We start from the raw sequence: 23,003 nt of genomic DNA, 5'->3' as shown, positions 1-23,003 counted from the left end.
TACTTTTTCTCCACACTAGAATATTAGTGCTAGAAAAACATAGACTCTTACCTAGTTTACTCTCTGCTGCTTCACCAGCATCTAGAACAGGAGATAGCCAATAATAGATACTTAATGTTTCTGGAATAACTAAATAAAATAATAAATGTTTGCTATCAGATTTTCTCTTGTCTCAATATTTTACTTTGAATATCCAGACTCACTACATGGCCTTTTTCACACCCCTGTTATTCACAGGACATTTTCATCCCATAGAAAAAAAATTAGACATGTTAATTTTTGCTTTTGGTAATGATAACTGTTTGTATTAAACTACAATGTGTTATGTAGCTCTGTCTATTATTAGAAAGTTATATTATTCATTTGCTTTATAAATTTCATTACTATCCCTAGCAAAAGGAAAAAAAATGCATATGAAACTAAATTAAAAGTTGAACTGGCATAGCAGAAATCTTGTCAGAAATTTCAGTTATCACTTTCTATTTTACATTTCTTTCCCCTGGAAATCACTATGGGTACATAGAACAGTAGAAGTAAAACATTTTCACAAATAAGTTAATTTGAGTTTTTATCAAATAATATGCTTAATAAGTCAATCAAAAGAAACCAAATGCAAATATAACATTAAACCCCATTGACATATCCTACAAAGGAGTAAGTTCTTTGTATTCTGAGCACATCTGACTGGATCTATCTCCAAGACAGCACTTAACAAGTAGTTTTACAGTGATCTATTCCTCCATCTACCTCCACTAGTAAATATTGAACAATTCTAGGAGAAAATGTCTTTTGCTTTGTGAAGGAGGATATCAAAGTTATATTAGAATAGTTCTGACCTATAGAAACACTTATTTGTATTCCAATACATATGTGAAGTTAGTAGCGCTTTCTGGCTTTCTGACATAAACATTTGAATCATGTAAAGAGTTGTTCTGAAACAAACAAGCATATCTATTGACCTGGGATTTTCTGTGTGTGTGGAGTTGGGGGAAGAAGAGCACAAATGTCCAATCACAATGAGTTTTCCACAGGCCCTGAAAATGAGGTACGAAGAACCAAATTCAGCAGAGTTGAAATTTCAAAGGAAAGTCCTGGACCGTGCATAATAGATGTTATGTGAAAGCTTCATGGCCTAGAGATTTTCAATAAGTTACCTGTGTGTTTCCTGGACACACAAAAAAAGTCTCTTTGTGAAATTGAAAATATAACTTATTAAATGTTAAAACATCATGAGGCCCCGAACACCACATTATGATTTTCATATAATAGGCAACGTATCGGGAAGGAGAAAGTGTTTTTATATCCACTTAGTTACAGCATCCATGATAATGTAAATTTGAAAAAAAATATTTATTGCCAAAGAGGATAGCGTATAACTGATTTGAGGTTTGGCATTATTAAACGGAGTTGTCGGAGCCTCTGCATCTGCGGTGATGGTAGTGGTCATGGCAGAAGGTGCTGATGCTGGATGTCATTGATCATGGAGACAATACTGGAAAACTCTGGCTCAGCATAGGAGAGTCAGCACAGGGACAAAAGTAGGGAAGCACAGGTCAAACCAATGCACCACATGCGATAACTTACGTGGCTCCCAAACAATACGCAGAGATAATCAAGAAAGATGATAAACCCTTTAAACACAAGAATTAGTATTCATAGCACTTGAATTATAAACGCAATCTGAAAGACACTTTCAGATAATCTGTAGATAAAGAAAGGTAATCGAAAGCAATAATAGGAGGGCATAAGCATATCCTAAGCAGCACTAAAAAAAAAAAAAAACCCTTTAGAGATAAAAAGTATAGTCTTTCAACTTAAAAACACAGACAAATGAGCTCAAAAGATGGGAGAAGATATTAAGAATTATCAGAGGTAAACAAACCCAAACTTTTCTATCAAAGAAAGATCATGAATCAATACATGTATTTAGCAATAATAAAAATCTAACAAATATTTTTTTAAAGCATTTAGAGAAAGTAAGTGTAAACCTAGAATTCAACACACGACTAAACTGTCATTTAAGCATGATGGTGAAATTAAAAAAAAAGTTCAAATTTACAAAAACTGAAAGTGCTTACCAATCATAGACTAACTTAAAAAACATTAAAATGTTGTCCTCAGCACAAAATAAGATTGCCCAAGAAGAGAGTAGGATGTAAATAATAATGATGGACAAAAATATAGGCACCATATTGCAGAATCCAAACAAATTGTTATTGTAAATTAATGGTTACTACTTTGGGGAATTTAAATTCAAAACTGAGGCAAAATATTAGCAAAGGGTGGCATAGAATTTGGATGTGGGAAACCCAAATCAAATATATATATATAGACCTTAATCTTTAATTTTACAGCTATGCATAGATCAAATTAAAGATTCAGGTCTACAACCTTTAATTTGATATTCTGAAGTATGAAAAAAAAACCTACAAAAGTGATTTTTCAAAATATTTTCCCTCACATTAAAGTAAAATTAATTTGGCAGCAAAATGTGATCTGAACAAATATATGTGGATATGCAAAGTCCTTATTTCTCCTACTTAGTATCATTAACCACATGATTCAGAATAGGCATATTAATGTGTTCCAGATTCTGCTTCTGGGGTTTTGTTATATAATACGTGCTTTTGCGGATTTACCTTTTTCTTAAATGAGATGGGTCTTGCTATGTTGCCCAGGCTGGTCTCAAACTTCTAGGCTCCAGCAATCCTCTTGCCTCAGCCTTCTGAGTAGCTGGGAGGTGCATGCCACTGTGCCCAACCTGCATTATCTTTTTAAAATATGAAAAAATGCTGAATTGGAAAGACATCTGGCACCAAGGGATCTACATAAGCAGTTATGGACCTGTAATATTAATTTTTATTTTTAGAATTACGTTCAATATGATAAATACATACAAATAATTATACTAACTATTGGAAGCACCACTAAAAATAGAAAATGGGAAGAAATAATGAAAATTAGGTGAATTCAGGAAAGCTATAAATGGAAAATAAAAGAAGCGGAAAAACAAAGTGATCAATTGAAAATTTAGAAGGCCAGGCATGGTAGTTCATGCCCACAATCCCGATGCTTTGGAAGGCAGAGGCAGGAGGATCACTTGAGGCCAGGAGTTCAAGGCAGCAGTGAGCTGTAACAGTACCACTGCACTCCCACCTGGGCAACAAAGGAAGACCTTGTCTCTGAGAAAAATAAAAAAAATAAAAATAATAGAGAAAAAGAAAGTAAACTTAACCTGATAAATGTCATGAAATAACTATTTGTATTAAAACCCACCCATCAAGTTACATAATAATTCTAAGAAGCAGTTATAAAATTTGATAAGTGAACTCTTACTAGAATGGCCCTCTGACAGACAACAAAGATATAAAAATTGTATTTTCAGTTTTATTTAGTTCAATATAGTATTAAATTTCTTTTCAGAATTCTTCTTTTGTCCATAGTTTATTCACAAATCTGTCGTTTAATTTTCAAATATTTGGAGGATGTCTATTTTTGGTATTTTTTCTAATTTAATTCAATTGTGGTGTGAGAATACACTTTGAATGAATTCGATTATTTTAATTTTGTTAAGGTGTGTTTTATGTCACAGAATGTACTCCATCATGATGAAGGTTCCATGTGAGCTTGAGAAGAATGTGCGTTTTGCTGTTTTGAGATGGAGGATCCTATAAATGTCAGTTAGGTCAAGGTGATTGATAGTGATACTCAGGTCCTCAAATTAATCAATTTGCAGTTATTTTTTATTGCAAAACCTGCAATTACTTTTTCACCAACCTAATACAGATGTTTTGCTTACTTGATCTATCAATTATTGAAAGAGGGGTGTTGAAGTCTCCTACTATTATAGCTAATGTTTTAATTCCTTCTTTTGATCCTACCAATTTTTGCCTCGTGCATTTTCATGTTTTGTTAAGGATTTTTATGTCTTCTTAGATAATTGCCCCATTCATCATATTTCTTTTAAAAAATATTTAGTGGTTGCCCTAGAGTTTACAAAATACATCTTTAAAAATGGTCTAAATTCTATTAAGATATCGCTATACTACTCCACCTGTAGTGCAGGTACTTTATGACAAAGTCAATATTTCCAATCCATTTCTCCTATCACTTGTGACATTACGGTCTTCATTTCACTAATCCTTATCCCATAATTACTCAATACATTGTTATTATTGCTTTAAATATACCATTATTTTAATATAAATTAAAATAGAAACCATACATTATATTTTTATTTATTTATTTGTCAGCACTTTGCCTTTTTAAATTAAGATCTCAGTTTCTGATCTATATTATTTTATATTTGCCTGAAGAATTTATTTTGACATTTATTTTAGGACAGGGCTACTGACAATAAATTTCTCATTTTGGGTTTTTGAGGCAGCCTTTTTCTCTTCAATTTTGAAGGATAATTTCACTGGATATAGGATTCTGGGTTTGGTGGGATTTTACTTTCAAAACATTAAAGGTTGTCCATCACTTTCTATTTCCTTGCATGATTTCTGATAAGAAGCCCACTGCAATTTGCATACTTGTTACTCTTAAGGTAAGAAATTTTTTTTTTATAGCTTTCTTCATTTATTCTCTTCAGTTTTCCACAGTTTGAATATGATATACCTAGGTAGGTTTTCAGTTGGTGGTGGTGCTGGGGTTTTGTGTTTGTTTGTTTTGATTTATTTCAGTTTGGTGTTCTCTGTGTTCCTAGATATGTAGTTTGCTTTTTATAGTCTATTTTGGAAAGTTCTTAGACACAAATTCTTTAGATATTTCTTCTGTTCCATTTTCTCTTTCTTCTTCTTTGGTATTCAAATTATATGTATTTTATACATTTTGAAACTGTCTCCCTGTTATTGCATGATCTGTACTGTTTCTTCTCTAATGCTTTTTTTTCTTTTTGCATGTTAGTGTGAGAAGTTTCTATTGACCTATCTTCAAGTTTGCTAATTCTTTTTTGAGTCTTCTGATGAGCACATCAAAGGCATTCTTTATTTCTGTTACTGTCGGGACTTTTTTCCTAGCATTTCTTTTTGATTCTTTCTTAGAGTGTATGTCTCTCCGATTGCTTTATTTCTTTGTTCTTGCATGTTTTCCAGTTTTTCTATTAGATTCCTTAGCATAATCATAGCCATTTTAAATTCTCTGTCTGAAGATTTTTACATATGTATTGTATCTAAGTCTGGTTCTGGTATTTTCTGTCTTTTTAGATAATATTTTTCCTTACCTTTTTGTACATATTGTCATTTTTGGCAGACAATCAGACATTCTGTATTGACTAATGTGAACTAAAGTAAATAAGACTTTACTGTGATGATTTATTTTAATCATGCCAGGAGTTGGGCTATGTTTAATGTTCCATGTAGCTATAGTTATTAGGGGTTTAAAATTCATCTAGTATTCTTATTTTTACATCTTCTCTTGGCTTGGTGAAATTCTCAAGTTACTGCCCCTTGGAGGGAGTCTGACTGGAAGATCTTTCAGCTGCAATCCACCCTCATTATAGTAGCAACCTGTGGGGATTTGGTAGTAGGATGTGGCTAAGGGGGATTGTTCTATAATTTTCTGATTAATCTCAGCTTTTTTGTCTTCTGTTGTGTTCCATGGCTGTGGCCTTCACAAATATTTTTGTTTATCCTCACGTGGTATAGCTTATTTTTCCCTTTCCTTCCACTTCTCTACCTGGCCAATACCTTCCCAATCTATTTCCTTGAAGTCCCATCTCCTGTTGATATAATTTTTCCTTGGGTGGGAACAAAGGATAGAAGGGATTGGACAGATGGAGGCATTTTAGAAGATTATTTCCTAAGGGGATCTTTCTCAAATTTTCACTATGAGACCATAGTGGGGTTCTGGATGGAAAGCCTAAGATAGTATAAAGATAATCCCACAAGAATGCAGCTCCCAAGAGTTCTTCACTCCCCTGCTAGTCTACCGTCAGCCAACAAATATTCATCAAAATTATAATTTAAGTATCCCCACCAGTTCATGGCTCTAGCAGCTTCTCCTCTTCGTAAGTAAATTTGCTTCCTGTTTCTCTTTACATATGCCCATGTCTCCAGATTTAGGATACTTACTGCATCTTTACTTCTCTGCTGGGTCCAGGAAAATGTGTTGATTTTTAGTTTTTCCAGCTTTTTCTTATTGACAGGTTTGAAAAATAACTTTCAAGCTCTTTACATGTTCAAAATAAACCAGACGTTCAAAGTCTATAAAAATATTCTTAAAACTACTAGAAAGTTCTGGAAAGTGTAAAAAGAAAGTAAATATTGTAGAAAGGTGACACTTGAATAAAGGGAGTGGCACAAAGTGATTTTCCAGTTTCTATAGGTTTTACTTGAAGAATAGGAGGCACTTAGTAGTGCAAAAACTTGCTGGGGCATTAATGAGCATCATGCTGTCTCTCTCACCTGAAAAACAAGAAGAAATATCAAAAAGCAATCACAAATATTGGAAAACGATATGTTATTTCAGGGGGAAGAACCGAAGAAGGGGATCCGTAAATTATGTGCATAAAATATGTCCAAATACCTGAATGTCGACTGAATGATGCATGTGCAAGGCAGGCTCAAAGCATCCTTTAAAGACTAAATGATCAGAACTGAGAATTTAATTGTGACTCAGGAGACAAAACTTGAAGCTGGAATGAAAACAAATCAATTACCCACAAAAACAACAATCTAAAATAAATCAACATTGTTTAATAGAGTATAACAGAATTTGGATTCTCCACAGCAGAACATTCATAATATCCTAGAAAAACACAAAAAATTACTCAACATACAAAGAATAAGGGAAATGTATGTGACCCATTCTCAATAGAAAAGACAGAGGAGTGCAACCACAAAATAATCTAAATGCTGGAATTGTTAGTCAATGAATCAAAAGCAGTGCTCAGTGAAGTAAAGATAAATGCACTCAAAATGAATAAAAACATAAGAAATCTCAGCAAAGAAACATAAAACATGAAAATGTGTGAAATGTAAGTTTTAAAATGAAAAAATAAAATATATTTAATAAAATCTCCACTGGGCTTAACAGTAGAACGTAGACAAGAAAAGATAATCCATGAAAATTACCCAATCTGCAAAAAAGATAAAGTAGAAATTATTGAAAATGAATAAATGGAGCTGCTGACTACTGAAGGCAACATTAATGGTTTAATGTAGGTGTAATTTTTGTACCAGAAACAGAAAAGAGAAAGAGAGCAGAACAAACATATTTGAAGAAATATTGGTCAAAAACTCTCCAATTTTTTTGAGACATTAATTTTCAAACTCATGAATTTCAGTAAAATCCAAAGAGAATAAATAAATATAGCTTTTAAAAGCCTACGTTTATGGTAAACTTTTAAAAACCAAGAAATAAAAAAATTCTTATATGCAGGTAGAAAAAAATTACATATTATATACAAGAAAGCACCATTTCTAATGACCCCCTATGTCTCATGGCAAATTATGGTGGCAAGAAGACAGTGGAACACAAACTTTAAAGTGTTGAAAGAAAAAAGAAAAAACTGGTAAGTCAGAAATTTATGTCCAGTAAAAATATATTTCAGAAAAAAAGGCCAGTTAAAGACCTTTTCAGATAAAAATAAATTTAAAAATTTTAGCCAGAGGATTTATATCTTGAGAAGAAATAAATGCTAAAAGTAATTCTTTGGGCAGAAGAGAAATTGTACCAAACAGAAATACGGATTTTTAGGAAAAAATGATGACAAATTAAGAACATCAGAACCTACGTGTGTCATTGTATGTGAGATGGGTGTTTTGAAGATAGCATACCATTAGATCTTGCCACTCTTTGCCTTTTAAATTGGGGCATTTAGCCCAGTTACATTCAAGAGTAGTATTGATATGTGTGGATTTGATCCTGTCATTGTGTTGTTAGCTGGTTATTATGCTGGCTTTTTTTGTGTGTGGTTGCTTTATAGCACTGATTTGTGTACTCAAGTATGTTTTTGAATTTGCTGGTAACGGTTTTCCTTTCTATATTTAGTGCTTCTTTCAAGATTTCTTTTAAGGTAGGTCTCGTGGTAACAAACTCCCTCAGCATTTGCTTATCTGAAAAGGATCTTATTTTTCCTTTACTTAGAAAGCTTAGTTTGGCTCGATATGAAATTCTTGATTGAAAATTTTTTTCTTTATAAATGTTGAATGTAGGTCCCCAGTGTCTTCTAGCTTGCGGAGTTTCTGCTGAGATACCCAGTGTTAGCCTCATGGGATTCTTTTTGTGTGTAACCTGTCCTTCTTCTCTAGCTACTATTAACATTCCTTATTTTGACCTTGGAAAATCTGACGATTGTGTGTCTTGAGGATGAACTTCTTGTGTAGAATCTTTTAGGGATTCTCTGTATTTTCTGAATTTGACTGTTGGCCTCTCTAGCAAGGTTGAGGAAATTTTCATGGATGATATCCTAAAACATGTTTTCAAAGTTGTTTGCTTTGTCTTTGTCTCCTATAGGGATGCCAATGATTCATAGATTTCACCTCTTTATATAACCCCATATTTGTCAAAGGTTTTATTCATTCCTTTTTATTCTTTTTCTTTATTTTTGTCTGGATGTCTTATTTCAGAGAACCAGTTTTCAAGTTCTGAGATTCTTTTCTCAGCTTGGCCTATTCCACTGTTAATACTTGTGATTTCATTGTGAAATTTTTTAATGTGTTTTTCAGCTCTGTCACATTCATTATCCTCTTTTTTACACTAGCTATTTCATCCTTCAGCTCTTGTATTGTTTTACTGTGATTCTTAGTTTCCTTAGATTGGGTTTTGCCATTCTCCTTAGTCTCAAAGATCTTCATTCCTATCCATATTCTGAATCCTTTTTCTGCAATTTCAGTCAACTCAGCCTGGTTAAGAACTTTTGTTCGATAACTAGTTCATTTGTTTGGAGAACATAAGACTCTCTGGCCATTTGAGTATCTGGAGTTCTTGTGTTCGTTCTTTCTCATCTCTGTGTGTAAGTGTTCCTTTAACTGCAGTATAGACTGAATAGTCAGTAGACTTCTCTTTTGGATGTTTTCACAGAGCTGAGGCTATGTGCAGGGTCTTTATTTGTAGCTTGTTTCTTGTCTTTGGTTTCACAGGGATGTATGTTAGTGAGGTATTTTTGATGTTGAAACTTTGGAGTATTATCTATCCAGGAAGCGCTGCTTAGCCATAGTGGTCAGTAGGTGGCCTCTTGCTCAGTTGCGTGGCTCCCCTATATTTCCTCACAGTTTCAGCTCTCATTGCTCTGGAAGTATGGGCCCCTCTCCCCGCTGAGTTCTGGCTGTAGATCATGGCTTAGTACTCCTAGGAGGCCCATCATGGCTCTGGGGTGATCTCAGGGTTTACATTTCCTCCCCAACCTGGAGGCAGCAGAGGAAGGGACTTTGGTAGTGGTTATGGCTAAGGGTCTTCTGCCTGTCTCCTGGGGGCTCCACTCCAAAGAGATGAAGGTCAGCAATTGTTCAGTGCGATCAGCCCAAGGTGGGTGGTCTGTACTGTGGGCATAATCCAGGGGTTTCCCTGCCTGGTGATGAGCAGAGGGAGTGAGTGAGACCCATAGGAAATGGACTGGCGTCCTCTTCTTGAGTCAGCTGCAGCTTGTTGGAGGTATGGATAAGACACTTAGGGTCTTTGCTCCATTGTTAGTCTGAAGGTAGCAGGGGTAGATTCCTATAGAGGCTGTGGTAGGGCGACTATCATTTGCCCCTTGGGGCTGGGGTTCCATCTCCAAGAAATGTGAAGTCGGGTGTTTCAGGATGCAAGGTTGGTTTAACATATGCAAATCAATAAATGTAATTCATCACATAAACAACTAAAGATAAAAACCACATGATTATCTCAATAGATGCAGAAAAGCCTTTCAATAAAATTCAATATCCTTTCATGCTAAAAAATCTCAATAAACAAGGCATTGAAGAAATATACCTCAAAATAATCAGAGTCATCTGTGACAAATATACAGCCAACATTGTGCTAAATGAGCAAAAGCTGGAAGCATTCCCCTTGTAAACTGGCACAAGACAAGGATGACATCTCTCACCATTCCTATTCCACATAGTATTGGAAGTCCTGACCAGAGCAATCAGGTAAGACAAAGATATAAAAGACATCCAAATAGGAAGAGAAGAAGTCACACTATCCTTGTTTGCAGATGACATGATTCATCTTTTACTTTTTTTTTTTTTTTTGCAGCAGAGGCTTGCTGTATCACCCAGGCTGAAGTGCAGTGGCACAATCTCAGCTCATTGCAACATCCGCCTCCTGGGTTCAAATGATTCTTCTGCCTCAACCTCCAAAGTAGCTGGGATTACAGGTGTACACGACCACAACTGGGTAATCTTTGTATTTTTAGTACAGACAGGGTTTCACCATGTTGGCCAGGCTGGTCTCGAACTCCTGAGCTCAAGTGATCTGCCTGCCTTAGCCTCCCAAAGTGATGGGATTACACGCATGAGCGTGTCCTACATGGTCCTACATGATTCTTTATCTAGAAAACCCCATAGTCTTGGCCCAAAAACTCCTTCAGCTGATAACTTCAGCAAAGTTTCAGGATACAAAGTCAATGTAAAAAAATCACTGACATTCCTATACAACAATAACAGCCAAGCCGAGAACCAAATCAGAAACACAACACCATTCACAATAGCCACAAAAATAATAAAATATCTAGGAATACAGCTAGGAATCAGAGAAGTGAAAGATCTCTACAGTAAGAATTACAAAACATTTCTCAATAAATTAGAGATAACACAAAAAAATGGAAAAACATTTCATGCTCATAGAAAGAAAGAATGGCCATATTATCCAAAGCAGTTTACAGATTCAATGCTGTTCCTATCAAACTACCAGTTACATTCTTCACAGAATGAGAAAACTATTTAAAAACTCATGTGGAAGGGAAAAAGAGCTCAAATAGCCAACACAATCCTAAAGAAAAAGAACAAACCCAGAGTCTTCCAATTACCTGACTTCAAACTATACTGTAAGTCCACAATAACCAAAACAGCATGGTACTGGTACAAAAACAGACATATAGACAATAAAACAGAATAGAGCACCCAGAAATAAGGCCACATACCTGAAGCCATCTGATCTTTGACAAAACTGACAAAAACAAGCAATGGGGAGATGATTCCCTATTCAATAAATGGTGCTGGGATAACTGGCTAGTCATACGTAGAAGATTGAAACTGGACCCCTTCATTACACCATATACAAAAATAAACTCAAGTTGGACTAAAGACTTAAATGTAAAAGACAAAATTATAAAAACCCTGGAAGACAACCTAGGCAATATCATTCTGAACATAGGCACGGGCAAAGATATCATGATGAAGATGCTGAGAGCAATCACAAAAAAAAGCAAAAATTGCCAAATAGAATATAATTAAACTGAAGAGCTTCTGCACAGCAAAATAAACTATCAACAAAGTAAACAGACAACCTACAGAATAGGAGAAAATATTTGCAAACTACACATCTGACAAAAGTCTAATAACCAGCATCTATTAGGAACTTAAAATTTCAAGAAAAAGCAACAACTCCATTAAAAAGTGAACAAAGGACATAACAGACACTTCTCAAAAGAAGATATACATGTGGCCAACAAGTATATTAAAAAAGCTCAATTTCACTGATTATTAGAGAAATGCAAATTAAAATCACAATGGGATACCATCTCACACCTGTCAGAATATCTATCAAAAAGTCAAAAAGTAACAGATGAGTCAGGGTTGCAGAGCAAAGAAAATGCTTATACACTGCTGGAGAGAATGTACATTAGTTCAACCATTGTAGAGTGTGGTGACTCCTTAAAGAGCTAAAAGCAGAGCTATTGTTTGACCCAGCAATCCCATTCCTGGGTATATACCCAAAGGAATATAAATTGTTCTACCATAAAGACACATGCACATCAATGTTCACTGCAGCATTATTAACAAGAGGAAGACATGGAATCAACCTAAATGCCCCTCAATGACAGATTGAATAAAGAAAATGTGGTACATACACATCATGGAATATGATGCTGTCATGAAAAAGAATGAGATCATGTCTTTTGCAGGAACATGGATGGAACTGGAGGTTGTTATCCTTAGCACACTAACGCAGGAACAGAAAGCCAAATACCAGATGTTCTCATAAGTAGAAGCTAAATGGGAAAAAGTCATGGACACAAAGAAGGGAACAATAGACACCAGAGCCTACTTAAAAGGGTAGAGGGTGCAAGGAGAGAGAGGATCAGAAAAAATAACTATTGGATATTAGACTTATCACAGTGCTTGTGTGACAAAATAATCTGTACAAACCCCTATGACATGAGTTTACCTATATAACAAATCTGCACATGTGTCCCTATACTTACAATAAAAGTTAAAAAAGAGGAAAAAAAGAAAAAGAGACTGATTTGGACTTCTGACTTCCAGAGAAGTTAGAGAATAAGATGTGTGTTAATTTGAGCCATCAAATTTGTGGGAATTTGTTACCGTGGCCATAGAGGACAAATAAAATGATGTAAATATTGTTTGGTGCTAAATCACCTTATTGTACAATTTTATTTGTTCTGGCTTTAATGATCACTAACCTGTCATTCAGTTTTAGTTTAAATATCTGGCTTAGGCTGTCTTCATCTGTCCATCAGCCCTGTAAACTATCTCTCTGTTTAATTTTTCCATGTTGCTAAACATGCCAAATAATCTTTTATTTTCCATTTCTTTTGCCCTAAAAAAAAAAAAATTCTCTATAGAAAAAAAGAAGAACATCAGATATGGTAAATATCTGAGTAATTATAAAATACTTTTTTTTCTTTTCAAGTTCTTTAAAATATATATGGTTATTTAAAGCAAAAATTATAAAATTGTCTTTTTGAAGTTTAATGTATGTGAATGTAAGATATATGACAATATAATATGAAACATTGCAGCAGGTAACTAGAATGACCTTTATAGTATATATATATATATATATTTATAAAGTGATACAATATTACCTGATTGTGGAATTTGAAAGTTTGGGAATATGTATTTTAGTTCCTGGGGAAAAACAATAAAGAAATAATATAAAGACTTATAGCCAAAAGGCAAGAGATGGGTTAAAATAAAGTAATAAAAATATTTCAAATACCCAAAAAGAAGTTAAGAAAAGAGGAGCAGAGGGACAAAAATGGAAGGGAACAAATAGAGAAATCTAAGAAAATAGACCCAATTCCCACCAAACAAATGATTACATTGTGTATTAATGGTCTAAACATTTTAATTAAAGGCAGAGATTTTCAGAGTGTATAAGAAGACAAGATCCAGAATATAGTTAACAATAATATGTTGCATACATGTAAATTGCTAAGAGGGTAGATCTTAAATACTCTCACCACAAAAAAAGATAACTATGTAAGGTGATGGATACGTTTATTAGCTTATTTTAATCATTTCAAAACTTCTATATACATATATTAAAATGTCATGTTGTGCACCATAAATATATACAATTTTTGTTTATCCACAGTATTAGTTTGTTCTCATACTGCTATATAGAAATACCTGAGACTGGATAATTCATCAGGAAGAAGTTGAATTGCCTCATGGTTCTGCAGGCTGTATAGGAAGTATAGCGGTTTCTGCTTCTGGGGAGGTCTCAGGAAGCTTCCAATCATGGCGGAAGTCAAAGAGGAATTACAGTCATCTTACATTGCCAGAACAGGAGCAAGAGGAGAAGGGAGAGATGCTAAATACTTTTAAACAACCAGATCTCATGAGAACTCTCTCACTATCATGAAAACAACACCAGGAGATGGTACTACACCATTCATGAAGGACCTCTCATGATCCAATTACCTCCCACCAGGCCCTACCCCCAATTTTGAGGATTACATTTTGACATGAGAATTGGGTGGGGACACAGAGCCAAACCATATCATTCACTATCTCTTAATAAAGTTGGGGGAAAAAAGCAAAAGAAGACAATATCCAGTAATGTGTTGTCTAGAAAAGATGCATTTTAAATATAAAGATACATATTAGGTAAAAGAAAATGATTTAAAAAAAAATAAGACAAAATTGGCTCTATTAGCATCAGATGAAGTATACTTCTAGACTGAGAATATTATCAAAAATAAAGAGGGACATTTCAAAATGATAAGAGATTTTTATCAGAAAGTCATAACAATATAAGTGAATAAAAACAAAGCCTCAATATACATGAAGCAAAAAGCAATTTTATCATCATAATATGAGGTTTCACCTCCTCCATTCTTGGTATGTCTGTTGTCTGCTGTCTCTGGGCCACGCTGTGATGTGGGGATGGTGGTGGGGGTTTAGGAGCTGCTAAGCCTGAGTCTCATGCCACTGAGTAGACAGCAGGGAAAAGCTGGGTTCCATTGCTAATGACTGTACTGTGGGTGGATCAGCCCACCTGCCATTGCCCGAGTTGTGGAGTGGGGGTTAAGACAGGAGATCTGAACTCCCCATTGAGACTTTGAAGCTGTTTCTGCAGGTAGATAGTCAAATCAGGTGTTGACCGTGGTTGTGGTGCTAAGGTTGGACTTTCCACTAGGTCTTAGTTGGGCTTTTCTCTGGTCCTTTTTTTCCCCACCCCAGAGATAGTAAACCTTATTTTCTTTCTCTGTCTATGTCTTCTGGCAGTTCTAGAGCCTCATATGGGAAATAAAATGGGAAATAAAAAGGAAACCCAGGAAATTGATCATGGTGGTGTTCTCAAGTCCTGAGGTAGAGTTTGAGTCAGTCCACCTTCTTCTTTCCAGCTTTCAAAATCTTTTTTTCATTGAAAGTTGAATTATTTCTAGAATATTTAGTTGTATTTAGAAGAGACAAGCAGGGAAAAATGATGCTGTATTTTTCCAGAATAGATAGCCTCAGTATTCTCTTTTATGTTTAAATTATCTGATCTTAAATTAGTGAGAAATATTCTAATCCGTTCTTGTGTTTTGTTTTTTTTTAAAATATAGTCTTCGTAGTCCTTGGTAGGTCCCTTGCTTCTGAAGACAACAAGTTTTGTGTTTTTTTTTCATGCAGTTATGAATATATATCCAGTTTAGGCCAATAATAACTATAGCAAAAATTATAGTGGATTTGGAAAGACAGACTTTTGCTATCCTAAAAGAATTAGCAGAGGTCAAGCTACCTCTTCCTACACTTCAATTAGAAATACTTCCAAGCTTGTCTAACCCGCCTTATTTTGTTGTTGTTGTTGTTCTGTTTTGCTTTAGGCTTTTAACAGCCTGAAGCCACAATTTTTAGTTTCTGTCTCTAGTGATGAGGGTAAGAGAGGGATGAGGAAGGGGCTTTACTGGACCAACCAGAAACAGAAACTAAGAACCCATGACTAGTATTTTCTCCCTTGGACACCTCTGCAGAGGTTTGCCAGAAAGTTTGGGTCGAGAAGAGACACAGAAGAAACCAAATTATTGATGATATGATTGACACACTGAGTCACCCTGTAAGTGCACTAACTCTTCCAGTTGTATAGTATATAAAACTTCTAGTTTTATATATTGATGTATTCATTAAGAAAAATTCATTGAATTTGCTGTTATGTGTATCTGAACATATGCCAATTTCTATTATGTGAAGAACACTGCAGAATAAGTGTTAAAACTAGATAGAGCTTTTTACCTCATCCAACAGTCCTTTCCATAGAGAATATTGATGGTCAGACCACTAAAGGGACTTGCCTAAAGTCTCATAGCTGGGACTGCAAACTTTAGATGAGAAATATCACTTAGAACACCTAATCAGGGATCCATGCTTGTAGTAGTTCTAGATAATTTTGATGAGAATGGAAAATTTAAATCTGTTCTTAATAAATAAAAATTGAAATATAATATTTTTCACAAAAGATTAATTTAGCTGTTGTCTCCAATGCAAATTTCTCATTTTATACTAAATGAAACAATATCAAAATGAAGAGCCCAAACTCCATATATGGTAAACTCTAGTAATAAATCCTTTGAATCATTATGTAAAATACATTGGGCCAAACAGTTATTAAGTACAAATATAATTGAGAGGCTCCGTGACATTAAATAAATAATTGGAATTCAAGCAAAATTATTTTTATTGAACTTCAGTTAGCTAAAGCAAGATGGGATGTGTAAAAGCAAAAATCACATAAAATCCTCCTGTTGTTTTCAGGTCAGTTTTTGTGAGAACAAAAGAAAAACTAAAGAAATGTAATTGCTCTAAGACCTGAACTTGCTCAGCTTCTTATTCCTCAGGATCAGTTTGAAGACCACAGATCCTCCTAGGCTAAAACGAACACTTGTGTATTTCTACATTGTGAAAATTCAGATATGCTTTTCAACTCTTTAATTCATAAATTATTATTTAAATCCAATTCTCTGAGACTGTGCCACCAAAATATTGGTGTGAAAAGTTAGTAGTGGGAGAAGTTGGTGAATACTTAGAATAATACTACATATATATGAAAAACTTAATAAGTAATTCATAATGAAATTATTGAATAAAAAAGAGGGTAAGACAGTTTGAAATGTGCATGAAATCACATTACCGCAATCAAATCAACAGTCAATTTCTGCCAGCAAACACAATATTATTGAAAACCAAGAGCAGCAAAACAACTCAACAAGAACATTTTCTTCACAGTTGCTCACAGAAATATGTCCATCTTGTCAGCTTTCTCATATTATTAGTGTTAATACCAGGTGATGTGCTGAAGACATGGTGTGTTTGTAATTAATTTATAGTTTATGTATAAACTTAACTTTTTTTGCCTGATACGGTTTGGCTCTGTGTCCCCACTCAGAACTCACCTTGAATTGTAATAATGCCCATGTGTCAAGGGCAGGGCCAGGTGGAGATAATTGAATCATGGGCGCAGTTTCCCCCATACTGTTCTCGTGATAGTTAGTGAGTTCTCATGAGCTCTGATGGTTTTATAAGCTTCTGGCATTTCCTCTGCTGGTACATTCTCTCTCTTGTCTGCTGCGATGTAGGACTTGCCTTTTGCCTTCCACAATGATTGTGAGGCCTCCCCAGCCACATGGAACTGTGAGTCGAATTAAACTTCTTTCTTTTGTAAATTACCCAGTCTCGGGTATGTCTTTATAAACCTTGTGAAAATGAACTAATACAGTAAATTGGTATCAGCAGAGTAGGGTGTTGCTGAAAAGATACCCAAAAATGTGGAAGCAGCTCTGAAACTGGGTAACAGGAAGACGTTGGAACAGTTTGGAGGGCTCAGAAGAAGATAGAAAAATGTCAGAAATTTTGGAACTTCCTAGAGACTTGAATGGTTTTGACAAAAATGCTGATATTAATATGAGCAATAAGGTCCAGGCTGAGGTGGTCAGATGGAGATGAGAAACTTGTTGGGAACTGGAGCAAACGTGATTCTTGTTATGTTTTAGTAAAGAGACGGGCAGCGTTTTGCCCCTGCCCTAGAGATCTGTGGAACTTTGAACTTGAGAGAGATGATTTAGGGTATCTGGCAGAAGAAATTTCTAAGCAGAAAAGCATTCAAGAGGTGGCTTGTATGCTGTTAAAGGCATTCCATTTTAAAAGGGAAACAGTACAAAAGCTCGGAAAATTTACAGCCTGACAATGCGATAGAAAAGAAAATCCCCAGGGCCTGTCGTGGGGTGGGGGGAGGAGGGAGGGATAGCATTAGGAGATATACCTAATGTAAATAAAGAGTTAATGGGTGCAGCACACCAACATGGCACATGTATACATATGTAACAAACCTGCACATTGTGCACATGTACCCTAGAACTTAAAGTATAATAATAAAAAATTTACAATTAAAAAAAAGAAAATCCCACTTTCTCAGGAGAAATTCAAACTGGCTGTAGAAATTTGCATAAGTAACAAGGAGCCAAATGTTAATCTCCAAGACACTGAGGAAAATGTCTCCAGGGCATGTCAGAGGTCTTAATGGCAGCCCCTCCCATCACAGGCCCAGAGGCCTTGGAGGATGGTTTCCTGGGCCAGGCTGTGTGCAGTCTACGGAACTGGTGGCCTGTGTTCCGCCTGCTCCAGCCATGACTAGAAGAGGCCAAGGTGCAGCTCGGGCCGTGGCTTCAGAGGTCTGAAAGGCCCAAGTCTTGGCAGCTTCCACGTGGTGTTGGGCCTGCCAGTGCAGAGAAGTCAAGAATTCAGGTTTGGGAACCTCCACCTAGATTTCAGATGTATGGAGATGCCTGGATGCCCAGACATAAATCTGCTGCTGGGGCAGGGTTCTATGGAGTACCTCTGCTAGGGCAGTGCAAAAGGAAAATGTGGGGTCAGGGCTCCCACACAGAGTCCCCACTAAGACATTGCTTAGTGGAGCTGTGAGAAGAGGGCCACCGTTCTCCAGACGCCAGAAAGGTAGTTCCACCTGCAGCTTGCACCATGTGCCTGGAAAAGCCACAGACACTCCACGCCAGCCTGTGAAAGCAGCTGGGAGGGAGGCTGTACCCGGGGAGGGAGGCTGTACTCTGCCACGGGGGCAGAGCTGCCCAAGACCATGGGAACCCACCTCTTGCATCAGTGTGACCTGGTTGTGAGAAATAGAGTCAAAAGAGATCATTTTGGAGCTTTAAGATTTGACTGCCCCACTGAATTTTGGACTTGCATGGGCCCTGTAGGCCCTTTGTTTTGGCCAATTTCTCCCATTTGGAATGGCTGTGTTTACCCCCATTGTATCTAGGAAGTAACTAGCTTGCTTTTGATATTACAGGCTAATGGGCAGAAGGGACTTGCCTTATCTCAGATGAGACTTTGGACTGTGGACTTTTGGGTTAATGCTGGAATGAGTTGAGACTTTGGGAGACTGTTGAGAAGGCATGAATGGTTTTGAATTGTGAAGACATGAGATTTGGGAGGGGCCAGGGGGAATGATATGATTTGGCTCTGTGTCCCTACCCAAATCTCACCTTGAATTGTAGTCATCCCCACGTATCATGGGTGGGGCCAGGTGGAGATAATTGAATCATGGGGGTGGTTTCCCTCATACCATTCTCCTGATAGTGAGTGAGTGCTCATGAGATCTGATGGTTTTATAAGCATCTGGCGTTTCCCCTTCTGGTACATTCTCTCTCTTGCCTGCTGCAATGTAAGATGTGCCTTTTGCCTTCTTCCATGATTGTGAGGCCTCCCCACCCAGGTGGAACTGAGTTGAATTAAACCTTTTGTAAATTACCCAGTTTCAGGTATGTCTTTATCAGCAGTGTGAAATCAAGCTAATACATTGCCTAAGCATATAAAAGGAAGAGAACTTTCACGTGTAATTAGGCGGTAATATCAACCCTTCCTCTATGTTGGGGGCTATTAATTTTATAATCATCATTTGAATCTCCTTACAGCCTTTGATTTAGAAAGGGCCTAGAAAATATGAGAGCTTTTTCAAGGTCACCCACAGCTTAGAAAAAAGAAAATATTGCTTTTATGTATAAATATCTTCTTATTGTCACTAAAGAAGAGAACACATAGAAAAGCTGTTAACTGTTTCTAGTGGATGGTATTATGTTCTCTGAAGATCCCCTCTATAAGACCAGTGCCTCCCCCCACACCCAGCTGCTGAGAGTTTGCTAAAGGCTCAGAGCTTCCTTTATCCCCAGAGAACTACCATAGGAATAGAAGACATGGAGAATGCACCCCTCAATCCTGCAGGGTTAGATATATTCATGACTGGAATCTGCTTCAGCCTGATCCCACAGGAGCTCTGGTGCATAAGTTGTACTACAGAGCTGTACCACCTTGAGTTGAGGGGTCTGCTGTTTGCACTCTCATATCAATTACTCATCAGTTGCTGTCTATGCCTGCAGGAGTGGAGGGGAACATTCTCCCTGTCTTCCATGGTGTTTCTCTCATTTCCCATCTCATGAGAGCAACCTATCCCCCAAACAAATCACTTTCACAAGATCGTCTGCCTCTGGTTATGCTTCTGATCAACCTAATTGAATACAGTTTTAAACGGGAAACCTGATGTGTACTTGACACAAGCCCTCACTCCTGGCAAACCTTGGTCTTCTAAATTCCCTGAGACTAAGGGAGATTCTACTGTGTCTTCTAGAAGCTTTCACTCAAGTTCCCAAGAACTCCATAATACCTCATAATTTAACACATATTCACTAGAAAAAAATAGCCATGCTCTTGGGCCCTTCCAGTATCCAGATTGTCACTCCAGCCCTGCATAATGACCAAATGCTTTGCTGATTTATATTTTTTCCAGAAGAGGCACTTGCCAAAGTTAAAACTGATTCTTAGCCAAAAACCAGAATCTGCAAATGCCTTCAGGAAGAAATCTGCTGGCCATCCTTTGACTTACAAAAAAAAACTTCTCCCCTGTCTGGAACTTTTCTGCTTCCAAAGCACTCTGATGTATTTAAATATGGATGTTCCTGTGAGTGTGTGTAATATATTGAGCATTTGCTAGTTGCTGCAACAGAAGCACTGTCTTCTCCAAGTCGTATCTAGAAATAAAAGCCTTTTCAGGTTTTACTTTTTTTCTTAGATCCAATTTATGAATTTATACATTACTAAGTAATTGTCCAATTTATCTAAATTGTAAACATATTGCAATGTTATTTACAGTATTAGTAAATTAAAGTTCTATACATTTAAAATTAAATTATATTTTGCTTGCATTATTATATATTATTTATACTGTTTTCAGATTAAGTAGTCTTGCTTCGTATTTGTCAATCATTTAGGTTTTTTAAATTTCTTTTTGTTTTATGTGTTTTATCATCTTTAGTTGGATACTTAGGTCATTGGTTTGCCGTTTGGTTTTTTTATAAAAGCTTTTGGGCTGAGACAATAGGGTTTCCTAGATGTAGGATCATGTCATCTAAAAACAGGGATAATTTAACTTCCTCGTTTATTATTTGAATGTCCTTTATTTCTTTCTCTTACCTGATTTCGCCAGCCAGGACCTCCAATACTATGTTGAACAGGAGTGGTGAGAGACAGCATCCTTGTCTTGTGCCAGTTTTCAAGGGGAATGCTTTTCCCCATTCAGTACGATATTGGCTGTGGGTCTGTCATATATGTCTCTTATTATTTTGAGGTGTGTTCCTTCAATACCTAGTTTATTGAGAGTTTTTAACATGTAGATGTTGAATTTTATCAAAAGCTTTTCTGCATCTATTGAGATAATCATGTGCCTTTGTCCTTAGTTCTGTTTATCTGATGAATCACACTTATTGATTGGCGTATGTTGAACCAACCTTGCATCTCAGGGATGAAGAAACTTGATCGTGGGGGATAAGTTTCTTGATGTGCTGCTGGATTCAGTTTGCCAATATTTGGTTGAGGATTTTTACATCAATGTTCATCAAGGATTTTGGCCTAAAGTTTTCTTTTTTTGTTGTACTTCTGCCAAGTTTTGGTACCAGGATTGTGATAGTTAATACTGAGTATCAACTTGATTGGATTGAAGGATACAAAGTATTAATCCTGGGTGTATCTGTGTGGGTGTTGCCAAAGAGATTAACATTTGAGTCAGTGGGCTGGGGAAGGTAGATTCACCCTTAATCTGGTGGGCACAATCTAATCGGTTTCCAGTGAATATAAAGCAGGCAGAAAAATGTGAAAAGGAGAGATGGGCCTAGCCTTTCAGTCTACATCTTTCTCCCGTGCTGGATGCTTCCTGCCATTGAACATTGGACTCAAAGTTCTTCAGTCTGGGGAGACTGACTGGCTCTCCTTGCTCCTCAGTTTTCAGACAGCCTATTGTGGGACCTTGTGGTTGTGTAAGTTAATACTTAATAAACTCCCCTTTATATACATACATATATATGTATATACATATATACATACATATATATGTATATACATATATACATACATATATATGTATATACATATATACATACATATATATGTATATACATATATACATACATATATATGTATATACATATATACATACATATATATGTATATACATATATACATACATATATATGTATATACATATATACATACATATATATGTATATACATATATACATACATTCCTTCTATACTTGATCTTTTGATCAAGTATATATATATACATATATATGTGCATATATATGTGTACACATATAGGGTGTGTATATACATATATATATGTGTGTATATATATGCGTGTGTATATATATATATAATTCTGTCCCTCTAAGAGAACCTTGACTAATACAGATTTTGGTACCAGGAGTGGGGTCCAGAACAGGAGAAGGCTCTGGAACAGGTCCAGGCTGCTATGCAAGCTGCTCTGCTAATTGGGCCATATGACCCAGCAGATCCAATGGTGCTTGAAGTGTCAGTGGCATATAGGGATGTTATTTGGAGCCTTCGGCAGGCCCCATTGGCGAATCACAGAAGAGGCCTCTAGGATTTTGGAGCAAGGCCTGCCATCTTCTGCAGATAAATACTCTCCTTTTCTGAGACAGCCCTTGGCTTGTTACTGGGTTTTGGTGGAAACTGAACATTTGGCTATGGGTCATCAAGTCACCATGTGACCTGAACTACCTATCATGAACTGGGTGCTTTCTGACCCACCCTGCCAGAAAGTGGGTCATGCACAGCAGCATTCCATCATCAAATGGAAGTGGTATATACGTGATCAGACCCTGGCAGGTACTGAAGGCACAAGTAAGTTACATGAGAAAGTGGCTCAAATGCCCATGGTCTCCGCTCCTGCCACCCTGCCTTCTCTCCCCAAGCCTGTACCAATGGCCTCATGGGAAGCTGCTCCCTATGACCAGTTGACAGAGGAAAGGAAGACTAGGGCCTGGTTCACAGACGGTTCTGCATGATATGCAGGCACCACTCCAAAGTGAACAGCTGCAGCATTACAATCGCTTTCTAGGACATTCCTGAAGAACAGTGGTGAAGGGAAATCTTCCCACATTTTTCTCCCATGGTGGATTCTTCCTGCCCTCGAAGGTCAGACTCCAAATTCTTTAGTTTTGGGACTTGGACCAGCTCTCCTTGATCCTCAGCTTGCAGACAGCCTATTGTGGGACCTTGTGATTATGTAAGTTAATACTTTCTAAACTCCCCTATATATAA

The 23,003-nt window shown here is 36.5% G+C and overlaps 1 long non-coding RNA gene across 1 annotated transcript in view, besides 2 other annotated features; it reads left to right on the top strand.

Moving 5' to 3' along the window:
- Positions 1 to 23,003, top strand: part of LOC101928135 (uncharacterized) — a 518,229-nt gene that overhangs the window by 229,618 nt on the left and 265,608 nt on the right. The window lies entirely within an intron of this gene.
- Positions 17,678 to 18,177: an enhancer, noted in NCBI's record as "H3K4me1 hESC enhancer chr3:35187721-35188220 (GRCh37/hg19 assembly coordinates)". NCBI's record gives its function as "activates a minimal SCP1, AML or CMV promoter by ChIP-STARR-seq in naive H9 embryonic stem cells {active_cell/tissue: H9 hESC(naive)}" and the evidence as "EXISTENCE:reporter gene assay evidence [ECO:0000049][PMID:30033119]".
- Positions 18,178 to 18,679: an enhancer, noted in NCBI's record as "H3K4me1 hESC enhancer chr3:35187219-35187720 (GRCh37/hg19 assembly coordinates)". NCBI's record gives its function as "activates a minimal SCP1, AML or CMV promoter by ChIP-STARR-seq in naive H9 embryonic stem cells {active_cell/tissue: H9 hESC(naive)}" and the evidence as "EXISTENCE:reporter gene assay evidence [ECO:0000049][PMID:30033119]".

Source organism: Homo sapiens, chromosome 3, assembly GCF_000001405.40.
Source record: "Homo sapiens chromosome 3, GRCh38.p14 Primary Assembly".
Lineage (NCBI taxonomy): Eukaryota > Metazoa > Chordata > Mammalia > Primates > Hominidae > Homo > Homo sapiens.
This window is presented reverse-complemented; position numbering and strand designations above follow the sequence as displayed.